The sequence below is a fragment of the Homo sapiens genome, chromosome 14 (genome assembly GCF_000001405.40).
Source record: "Homo sapiens chromosome 14, GRCh38.p14 Primary Assembly".
Taxonomy (NCBI): domain Eukaryota; kingdom Metazoa; phylum Chordata; class Mammalia; order Primates; family Hominidae; genus Homo; species Homo sapiens.
In genome coordinates, this window is record NC_000014.9 from 71,844,535 (window position 1) to 71,856,261 (window position 11,727).

At 41.8% G+C, this 11,727-nt stretch overlaps 2 annotated features.

Annotated features, from left to right (window-relative positions):
• Positions 4,197–4,776: an enhancer, noted in NCBI's record as "H3K27ac-H3K4me1 hESC enhancer chr14:72315448-72316027 (GRCh37/hg19 assembly coordinates)". NCBI's record gives its function as "activates a minimal SCP1, AML or CMV promoter by ChIP-STARR-seq in primed H9 embryonic stem cells {active_cell/tissue: H9 hESC(primed)}" and the evidence as "EXISTENCE:reporter gene assay evidence [ECO:0000049][PMID:30033119]".
• Positions 7,640–8,141: an enhancer, noted in NCBI's record as "OCT4-NANOG hESC enhancer chr14:72318891-72319392 (GRCh37/hg19 assembly coordinates)". NCBI's record gives its function as "activates a minimal SCP1, AML or CMV promoter by ChIP-STARR-seq in naive H9 embryonic stem cells {active_cell/tissue: H9 hESC(naive)}" and the evidence as "EXISTENCE:reporter gene assay evidence [ECO:0000049][PMID:30033119]".

Here is an 11,727-nt window from a genome sequence, read left to right on the forward strand (position 1 = left end):
GAATCTGTAAATTACCTTGGGCAGTATGGCCATTTTCATGATATTGATTCTTCCTACCCATGAGCATGGAATGTTCTTCCATTTGTTTGTATCCTCTTTTATTTCCTTGAGCAGTGGTTTGTAGTTCTCCTTGAAGAGGTCCTTCACATCCCTTGTAAATTGGATTCCTAGGTATTTAATTCTCTTTGAAGCAATTGTGAATGGGAGTTCACTCATGATTTGGCTCTCTGTTTGTCTGTTGTTGGTGTATAAGAATGCTTGTGATTTTTGCACATTGATTTTGTATCCTGAGACTTTGCTGAAGTTGCTTATCAGCTTAAGGAGATTTTGGGCTGAGACAATGGGGTTTTCTAGATATACAATCATGCCGTCTGCAAACAGGGACAATTTGACTTCCTCTTTTCCTAAATGAATACCCTTTATTTCCTTCTCCTGCCTAATTGCCCTGGCCAGAACTTCCAACACTATGTTGAATAGGAGTGGTGAGAGAGGGCATCCCTGTCTTGTGCCAGTTTTCAAAGGTAATGCTTCCAGTTTTTGTCCATTCAGTATGATATTGGCTGTGGGTTTGTCATATATAGCTCTTATTAATTTGAAATACGTCCCATCAATACCTAATTTATTGAGAGTTTTTAGCAGGAAGGGTTGTTGAATTTTGTCAAAGGCCTTTTCTGCATCTGTTGAGATAATCATGTGGTTTTTGTCTTTGGCTCTGTTTATATGCTGGATTACATTTATTGATTTGCGTATATTGAACCAGCCTTGCATCCCAGGGATGAAGCCCACTTGATCATGGTGGATAAGCTTTTTGATGTGCTGCTGGATTCGTTTTGCCAGTATTTTATTGAGGATTTTTGCATCAATGTTCATCAAGGATATTGGTCTAAAATTCTCTTTTTTGGTTGTGTCTCTGCCCAGCTTTGGTATCAGAATGATGCTAGCCTCATAAAATGAGTTAGGGAGGATTCCCTCTTTTTCTATTGATTGGAATAGTTTCAGAAGGCATGGTACCAGTTCCTCCTTGTACCTCTGGTAGAATTCGGCTGTAAATCCATCTGGTCCTGGACTCTTTTTGGTTGGTAAACTACTGATTATTGCCACAATTTCAGCTCCTGTTATTGGTCTATTCAGAGATTCAACTTCTTCCTGATTTACTCTTGGGAGAGTGTATGTGTCGAGGAATTTATCCATTTCTTCTAGATTTTCTAGTTTATTTGCGTAGAGGTGTTTGTAGTATTCTCTGATGGTAGTTTGTATTTCTGTGGGATTGGTGGTGATATCCCCTTTATCATTTTTTATTGTGTCTATTTGATTCTTCTCTCTTTTTTTCTTTATTAGTCTTGCTAGCGGTCTATCTATTTTGTTGATCCTTTCAAAAAAACAGCTCCTGGATTCATTAATTTTTTGAAGGGTTTTTTATGTCTCTATTTCCTTCAGTTCTGCTCTGATTTTAGTTATTTCTTGCCTTCTGCTAGCTTTTGAATGTGTTTGCTCTTGCTTTTCTAGTTCTTTTAATTGTGATGTTAGGGTGCCAATTTTGGATCTTTCCTGCTTTCTCTTGTGGGCATTTAGTCCTATAAATTTCCCTCTACACACTGCTTTGAATGCATCCCAGAGATTCTGGTATGTTGTGTCTTTGTTCTCGTTGGTTTCAAAGAACATCTTTATTTCTGCCTTCATTTCATTATGTATCCAGTAGTCATTCAGGAGCAGGTTGTTCAGTTTCCATGTAGTTGAGTGGTTTTGAGTGAGATTCTTAATCCTGAGTTCTAGTTTGATTGCACTGTGGTCTGAGAGATAGTTTGTTATAATCTCTGTTCTTTTACATTTGCTGAGGAGAGCTTTACTTCCAAGTATGTGGTCAATTTTGGAATAGGTGTGGTGTGGTGCTGAAAAAAATGTATATTCTGTTGATTTGGGGTGGAGAGTTCTGTAGATGTCTATTAGGTCTGCTTGGTGCAGAGCTGAGTTCAATTCCTGGGCATCCTTGTTGACTTTCTGTCTTGTTGATCTGTCTAATGTTGACAGTGGGGTGTTAAAGTCTCCCATTATTAATGTGTGGGAGTCTAAGTCTCTTTGTAGGTCACTCAGGACTTGCTTTATGAATCTGGGTGCTCCTGTATTGGGTGCATATATATTTAGGATAGTTAGCTCTTCTTGTTGAATTGATCCCTTTACCATTATGTAATGTCCTTCTTTGTCTCTTTTGATCTTTGTTGGTTTAAAGTCTGTTTTATCAGAGACTAGGATTGCAACCCCTGCCTTTTTTTGTTTTCCATTGGCTTGGTAGATCTTCCTCCAGCCTTTTATTTTGAGCCTATGTGTGTCTCTGCACATGAGATGGGTTTCCTGAATACAGCACACTGATGGGTCTTGACTCTTTATCCAATTTGCCAGTCTGTGTCTTTTAATTGGAGCATTTAGTCCATTTACATTTAAAGTTAATATTGTTATGTGTGAATTTGATCCTGTCATTATGATGTTAGCTGGTGATTTTGCTCGTTAGTTGATGCAGTTTCTTCCTAGCCTCGATGGTCTTTACATTTTGGCATGATTTTGCAGCGGCTGGTACTGGTTGTTCCTCTCCATGTTTAGCGCTTCCTTCAGGAGCTCTTTTAGGGCAGGCCTGGTGGTGACAAAATCTCTCAGCATTTGCTTGTCTGTAAAGGATTTTATTTCTCCTTCACTTATGAAGCTTAGTTTGGCTGGACATGAAATTCTGGGTTGAAAATTCTTTTCTTTAAGAATGTTGAATATTGGCCCCCACTCTCTTCTGGCTTGTAGGGTTTCTGCTGAGAGATCCGCTGTTAGTCTGATGGGCTTCCCTTTGAGGGTAACCCGACCTTTCTCTCTGGCTGCCCTTAACATTTTTTCCTTCATTTCAACTTTGGTGAATCTGACAATTATGTGTCTTGGAGTTGCTCTTCTCGAGGAGTATCTTTGTGGTGTTCTCTGTATTTCCTGAATCTGAACGTTGGCCTGCCTTGCTAGATTGGGGAAGTTCTCCTGGATAATATCCTGCAGAGTGTTTTCCAACTTGGTTCTATTCTCCCCATCACTTTCAGGTACACCAATCAGACGTAGATTTGGTCTTTTCACATAGTCCCATATTTCTTGGAGGCTTTGCTCATTTCTTTTTATTCTTTTTTCTCTAAACTTCCCTTCTCACTTCATTTCATTCATTTCATCTTCCATTGCTGATACCCTTTCTTCCAGTTGATCGCATCGGCTCCTGAGGCTTCTGCATTCTTCACATAGTTCTCGAGCCTTGGTTTTCAGCTCCATCAGCTCCTTTGAGCACTTCTCTGTATTGGTTATTCTAGTTATACATTCTTATAAATTTTTTTTCAAAGTTTTCAACTTCTTTGCCTTTGGTTTGAATGTCCTCCCGTATCTCAGAGTAATTTGATCCTTTGAAGCCTTCTTCTCTCAGCTCGTCAAAGTCATTCTCCATCCAGCTTTGTTCCGTTGCTGGTGAGGAACTGCGTTCCTTTGGAGGAGGAGAGGCGCTCTGCGTTTTAGCGTTTCCCGTTTTTCTGTTCTGTTTTTTCCCCATCTTTGTGGTTTTATCTACTTTTGGTCTTTGATGATGGTGATGTACAGATGGGTTTTTGGTGTGGATGTCCTTTCTGTTTGTTAGTTTTCCTTCTAACAGACAGGACCCTCAGCTGCAGGTCTGTTGGAATACCCTGCCGTGTGAGATGTCAGTGTGCCCCTTCTGGGGGGTGCCTTCCAGTTAGGCTGCTCGGGGGTCAGGGGTCAGGGACCCACTTGAGGAGGCAGTCTGCCCATTCTCAGATCTCCAGCTGCATGCTGGGAGAACCACTGCTCTCCTCAAAGCTGTCAGACAGGGACATTTAAGTCTGCAGAGGTTACTGCTGTCTTTTTGTTTGTCTGTGCCCTGCCCCCAGAGGTGGAGCCTACAGAAGCAGGCAGGCCTCCTTGAGCTGTGGTGGGCTCCACCCAGTTCGAGCTTCCTGGCTGCTTTGTTTACCTAAGCAAGCCTGGGCAATGGCGGGCGCCCCTCCCCCAGCCTCGCTGCCGCCTTGCAGTTTGATCTCAGACTGCTGTGCTAGCAATCAGCAAGACTCTGTGGGCGTAGGACCCTCCGAGCCAGGTGCCGGATATAATCTCGTGGTGTGCCGTTTTTTAAGCCGGTCCGAAAAGCGCAATATTCGGGTGGGAGTGACCTGATTTTCCAGGTGAGTCCGTCACCCCTTTCTTTGACTCGGAAAGGGAACTCCCTGATCCCTTGCGCTTCCCAAGTGAGGCAATGCCTCGCCCTGCTTCGGCTCGCGCACGGTGCGTGCACCCACTGACCTGCGCCCACTGTCTGGCACTCCCTAGTGAGATGAACCTGGTACCTCAGATGGAAATGCAGAAATCACCCGTCTTCTGCGTCGCTCACACTGGGAGCTGTAGACCGGAGCTGTTCCTATTCGGCCATCTTGGCTCCTCCCCCGTGTCTCTCTTATTATATCTTTTAAGTTCCCTAATCTTTTCTTCTGAAATATCTAATCTGCCATTAATTCCATCCAATTTTTAGTCATCTCAGACACTGTAGTTTTTATGTATCCAAGTTTAACTAGGGTCATTCTTATTTCTTTCATCTGTCTACCTAAGCTTTTGAACATATATGAAATACAGTTATAATGACTATTTTTAATGGCCTTGTTGGCTAATTATAATATGAATCTTTTCTTGGTTGGTTTTGATTGATTGATTATTCTTCTCATTATGGGGGTCATATTTTCCTACTTCTTTGGATGCCTGGTAATTTTTGAATGAATGCCAGACATTGTGAATTTTACATTGTTTATTAGGTATAGTACATTTGTGTCTTCCTAACAATATTATTGAGCTTAGTTTTGGGATACAACTAGGTAATTTGAAGCAGTTTGATCCATTCAAACTCTTTTGAGATTCTTTAGGTAGGACCTGGTCCCAAGACCCTTCTGAGTCATCTATCCAGTGCCCTGTCAATTCTGAGGTTTCCACTTTTCCAAGAATTCTTTCATTTGGTTCTTTCCCTGGCCTTGGGTAGTTTCCTTACATAAATGTGACTGATGATCAGTACATTCCTGAATTCTCAAGGCAGATCCTCTGCTGACCTCCACATTCTCTCGTGCAGCTTTTAACTTTCTGGTCCTGTGTCCTAACAGTTCTAACTGCCTTGGTCTCCCTCAGACTCTCAGGTCAGTCTCTTTAAATCAGGAGTCCGCTGACCTCTGCTTAGGTCCCCGCTTCCTGCATCACGCCTTGGAAGCTCTTTCAGAACCATAAGCTGAGGGCAGCTGTGGGCTCACAGTCTCACTGGGATTGCTGTGCTTCATTTTCTGATGTACAGTGACTTGAATATGATTATTTCATATAATGTCTACTTTTTTGATTGATTTAGGCTGGAGAGTTAAGCCAGTCCCTGTTACTTTATCTTGTATGAAAGCAGAGTCTAAGGAATTCTTTTTTAAACTGTAAAGTTAGGTAATCATGCTTACATTCTCTCTGAATTCCTAGAGAACAGACTGGTTGCAGTCAAATTTGATCAAAAGGAGGCTCCTCAAGACTTCAACTCCTTCATTATCAAACCTTGAATTTCTGAATGAGAGGAACATTTAGAGCCACAAACAGAATTCTCCACAAGGGCAGGAAAATGGTCTGTTCAAAGGGCAGTTTTGAGACTAGATGTCAGTGTTATTCTCCAGATTAAGAAGAGGGGTGACTCTTTTTTCCCCATGGAATCCCTTCAATGATAATAATCATTATGAGAGTTTTTGAAATGTATATCCCAGTTTCTTTTTTCCATAAGATCCCAAAGCTCTTAACAAATATAGTAATCAATATGCAAACTAGGATCATAATCAAAGAGTCTTGTGTTCCAGACTAATTTCTCACCATGGCTTCTGGACTTGCTCAGTTGCTCTGGCAGGCTAGTATCTGCCTTGTATGTGTTTTTCTCTTTTTCACCATTCCCTGTGTTTCTCTTTCTCTTTCATTATTTCTAGCTGTATTTGAACTTCTCTTTCTCACTATATTGGAACATAAGACACGTGCATTTCACTCCTAGAATTATTACTATTCCACGAAACACTGGCTGAGTCACTTTAGCCTTTGGCTTTTAATAAAATAATAATAAGGCTGGGCACAGTGGCTCATACCTATAATCTCAGCACTTTGGGAGACTGAGGCAGGAGGATTGCTTAAGCCCAGGAACTCAAAACCAGCCCGGGTAACATGGCTAAACCCCATCTCTATAAAAAATAAAAAAAAAATTAGCTGGGTGTGGTGGTGCACACCTGTAGTCCCAGCTACTTGGGAGCCTGATGCTAGAGGATTGATTGAGCCCAGGAGGTTGAGGCTGCTGTGAGTTGAGATCACACCACTGCTCAACAGAATGAGATCTATCTCAAAATAATAATAATAATAATAATAAAGGGTTAAACAAGTTGCCACCCTTCTCCCTATCTTCTGGGAATTATGGTACTAGAAAATGAAGTAGCATGTACGAGAAGCTTTCTCAAGTTTAATAGATTTCACCTGCTTCATTCTTCCATGTAGGCTCTCTCTTATCAAGTGCCTACAGTGGCTCAAGACTGAGCAAGGTGCTGTACTGGAGACAGTTTTTGGGGTGTGCAGGGTGAAGAAAGAGCTTCCAAGGGAAAGAAGTCCCTAGGTAGTTTATAATCTTATAATTCTCTTAAGTACAGGTCACTCTTTGGACTCTTCGAAGAATGGCTGGGTCCACTGTAATTGGATAGTATTTACTACAAAGAAGGTGTTTTATGTGTGTGTATGTTCAATTAACCTGGCGTCTTTTGATTTAAACTGTAAGAATGTTTTAATATTTTTTGCCCAGTCCCGTTGGTAGTCATTTTCACAGAGACAGTGACTCAGTCTGCCTCAAATGGGCCCAGGATAAACAGGTTTTGCTTAACCTTTCCATGAGCAACTTTTCAACTGTTAAAGTGTGCTAGAGTCAGATTACATGGGCTTGTGAGTCCTTTCAACATGGATAGGAAAGGAACCTCTAAGCCTCTGTTTCTTTACCTGAAACATGAGAATAGTCTTCCCCCTGCATAGAGTTAGCATGGAATTAAATGAGATGCTGCATATAAAACATTTAGTATAATTCCTGGCATGTAGTAAGCGCTCACTTATTGTCGGTTACTCTCATTATTCATCGTTCAGTAACTTACTTACTCAGTCCCTATTATGTGCAGGGTCTTTGACTTGGGTCTGAGATATTCTAATGAAAAAGCTCTCTCCTGGCCAGGCACGGTGGCTCATGCCTATAATCCCAGCACTTTGGCAGGCCGAGGTGGGCGGATTACCGGAGGTCAGGAGTTCGAGACCAGCCTGGCCAACATGGTGAAACCCCATCTCTACTAAAAACACAAAAGTTAGCTGGGTGGGATGGCGGGTGCCTATAATCCTAGCTATTCAGGAGACTGAGGCAGGAGAATCGCTTGAGCCCAGGAGGTGGAGGTAGCAGTGAGAGAGGATTGCGCCACTGAACTCCAGCCTGGGCGACAGAGCAAGACTCTGTCTCAAAAAAAAAAAAAAAAAAAAAAAAAAAGGAAAAGAAAAAGAAAAAACTATCTCCCTGCACTACAGTCTAAAGGAAGGGTTGGCAAACTTTTTCCATTAAGAGCCAGATGGTAAATATTTCAGACTTTGTGGGCCATATGGTCTCTCTTGCAACTGCTCAACTCTGATGTTATAGCTCAAAAGCAGTCACATACAAGACATTAACAAATGGGTATGGCTTTGTTCCAATAGTTTACAAACCCCTGTTCTAGAGGGAAGACAGATATTCAAAGAAACCATTGCAATACAGTGTGGTAAGTGTTACCACACTTAGATAGAGGAAGTGGGGAATGATCTAGCCTGTCACCACTCATTGTGCAGTCTTTAGACAAGCTGCATTGACATCACCAGGGAGCCTGTGAGGAATGCAGATCCTCACACCTCATCCCAGAACTGTGGAATCAGAGTCTGCATTTAACAGACTGAATTTTTTGCCCAGTCCCATTGGTAGCCATTTTCCATATGATGCAAAAACTCTTGATAAATATAGTAATCAATACGCACACTAGGATCACAATCAAAGGGCTTAACAAAAGAAGCTCTGACAGAGGGCTACGTTATACCAGCAAGAATATCTCATTTGAAAGCTGAAGGACAAGCAGAAGATTTTGGGGCAATGTATGGGCCAGGGGACATCTTTTAGGCAGAAAGTACAGCAAGTACCGAGATGTGGAGGTGAGGAAGAACACAGTTGAAGAACTCAAGAAATTAGAGAACCTTGCTGGCAGTAAGTTGGTAACACTACTCTAGGCTAGAAGAAATTTAAGCAACATAACAGTCAAATGCAGTGACCTGATTTTGTTTAGGTCCTGTTTTGAAGAAACCAATTATAAAAAGACATTTTTGAAACAATTGATTTTTTTTTTTTTTTTTTTTTTTTTGAGACAGAGTCTTGTTCTGTCACCCAGGCTGGAGTGCAATGGCATGATCTCGGCTCACTGCAACCTCTGGCTCCCAGGTTAAAGTGATTTTCCTGCCTCGGCCTCCCAAGTAGCTGGAACTACTAGCTTCCGCCACCATACCCGGCTAATTTTTGTATTTTTAGTAGAGACGGGGTTTCACCATGTTGGCCAGGCTGGTCTCGAACCCCTGACCTCAAATGATCCACCTGCCTCGGCCTCCCAAAGTGCTGGAATTACAGGCATGAGCCACCATGCTCAGCCGAAAATTTGAATATAAAGTGAGTATTAATACCACTGATTGTGATAAAGGTTTTGTGTTTATACATAAAAAGTCTATTAGAGAGATATATGGAAGGACTTTGGGGTGAAATGGCCTGATGACAGGGATTTTAAGAAATATTCACAAAAAAAGAAGGCTGACCAAAAGGAAGACATGAAGCAACTGGAGCAAAAAGTGAATAATTGTTGAATCCAAGGATGGGTGTATTGAGTTTTTTTATATTATTCTCTTTTCTTTTGTGTACTTTTGAAAACTTTCTTAATAAAAAAGTTAAGGAAGAATGTTGGACTGCATCAAGTCTCTTGTCTCTGCTTTTATGTGAAATTCAGCTCATGATTAATCCATCCCAAGAGCTGTGTACAAAGCAATATTTTCCATCTTTGAAGACAATTTAGAAGTCCTTGACAGGAGGTCACTCTGAGCCCAGTGGATCTACGTGCATTTCCTTTTATTGGAAAGAGCGGAAGAGCAGTGGCTTCAAGGAAGTTTTACTCCATTTCTTTTTTCTTTCTTTTTTTTTTTTTTTTTTTGAGACTGAGTCTTGCTCTGTCACCAGGCTGGAGTGCAGTGGTGCTATCTTGACTCACTGTAACCTCTGCCTCCCGGGTTCAACCAATTTTCCTGCCTCAGCCTCCCGAGTAGCTGGGACTACAAGCATGCGCCACCACGCCCAGCTAATTTTTTTTGTATTTTTAGTAGAGACGGGGTATCACCATGTAGACCAGGATGGTCTGAATCTCTTGACCTCATGATCCACCAGCCTCGGCTTCCCAAAGTGCTAGGATTACAGGCGTGAGCCATTTCTTAAAGCAGATGTGTCTGAGCTGGGGGATGAGGGTCTCTCATCCCAGCCCAGACCCTCATCCAGGACCCCCGCTTCCCCCGTACTAAAGGCGCAGCTAGGACTGCAGCTTGCTGAACAGTGTACTGCAATGGACCCGAGAAGAATGCGCACCTTTGTGCTCCTGGTTTGGAATCAAGTATATGCAGTAGTGGCCTTCGATGGTGAGGATTACAGATTTTTTTCATGAGGAACACATATTATATCTCTGAAAGAATCAGTAATAAGGAAATTAGGACAATAAGGAGCAGATCATTTTGGACCCACTATTTACCAGCTCTGTAGCCTTGAGAAAGTTACGAGGTCTCTTGAGGTCTCATTTCATCATCTGTAAAATTATTTAACCTACTCGATTGGGTTGCTGTGACAAATTTAATGAGATAACATGTATAGTCTTGATCTCATCGCAAGCTATAAGAAGTGATACACAAATGTCAGTTGCATTTTTCCTGAGCTGGACTTCCTAGTATTCTCTCCTATTTCATAGGTGGCTTTTTAAGCTTATCTTACCTCTGAGCTTCACATTTGTTTGGTGCTGAATTAGAATTTCCATGTGGTGGTCCCTGAATTTTACTGCTCCCCCAGCACCCTGTCTTTTTCTCTCATGCTGAAAGTAGCCTTTTAACATTTGCCTTTTAACCTGGGTCTTCCTTCTTTTTGCCTGGAATGGTTGTTTTTTTGTTTGTTTGTTTTTGAGATGGAGTCCCACTGCAAACTCTGCCTCCCGAGTTCAAGTGATTTTCCCTCCTCAGACTCCTGAGTAGTTGGGATTACAGACGCCCACCACCAGGCCCAGCTAATTTTTGAATTTTTAGTAGAGATAGGATTTCACCATGTTGACCAGGCTGATCTTGAACTCCTGATCTCAAGTGATCTGCCCGCCTTGGTCTCCCAAAGTGCTGAGACTACAGGCATGAGCCACTACACCCAGCCTTCTGCCTGGGATGTGGATGTGATTCCCAGAAGTGCAGCTGCCATCTTGCCACCATGAGGTAACCTAAGGGTGTCAGAGCAGAAGGATAAAAGGAGCTTACGTCCTTCATGGCAGTGTGGGACTATACTAGAGCTTGACTACTCACCAAATCTCACCTTGAAAGAACACACACTTTAAAATTTAAAACTCCAATTGTCTCTAAAATAAGAAAGAAAGAAAGAAAATAGGTTCAGGTGAGGAAGTATGGCAGAATGTTGATAATGATGAATCTGGGGAATGGACATATTGGTTCACTATACTTTTCTCTTTAATTCTGTGTGTGTGTGTTTGAAATTTTTCATGACAAAAATTTAAAAGAAAATTGAACTTCACCAAATTTCTTATCTTGATTATTATGTGAAGCTCCAGGTTCTAATCAAGCTCTTCCAAGGGCAGAGGACAATGATTTTCCTGTTGGCCAACTTTTCATTGGCTGCATCCCAATACCCCAGGCTTGCCTCAATATTCCTGCTGTGCTGCTGCCCCCTGCTGGCCTCTGCCATTTTGTGTGCCTGAAGATAAGCTTCCCCCCATGTCAGAGGGCTGTGAGCTCCCTCCACTGAAGAAGGTTTTTAAAGATTAGACTCTTGATTTTAGATGATGTTTAATAAATGAATGTCCCTTCTATTCCCAAATTCTTAATGCCTGATTTTTAAAAAGCATGATGGGCATGTGGGGAGATACAAGAGACACAGAAGCCTCTGCCTTTGCGGTTCATTTTGTAGGAATGAGGATTCATAAAATGTACCACCCCCCATTCTGTCTCAACTGATGCCCCATCCCTCCTTCCATTTTCATCCTTCCAATTTCTTCATTCTCTGTTTGATGGACATGTTATAGGAAATATGTTTCAGAAATACCATCTTTTTAGTTTTTATTTAATCTTAGATTTCCTGAGTGTGATGCTGGAGAAATATTTGTAAACAAAATACCTACTTCAGATGGACCAGAAGAGAGAAAGGACTGGTACAGGTTGCTGAAGACAACCTTGACTGTGTTTTTAAGGTGTGCCCACGTCTGCTAACCCCAGGGAACTATTGAACACAACATATTTGACTGGTTTGCTGATTTCCAGAACAGCCAATAGTAGTGTAACTGAGCAGAGAAACAATGCTGTTAGAAGGGGCACGGTGAGAGTGAGATCGGC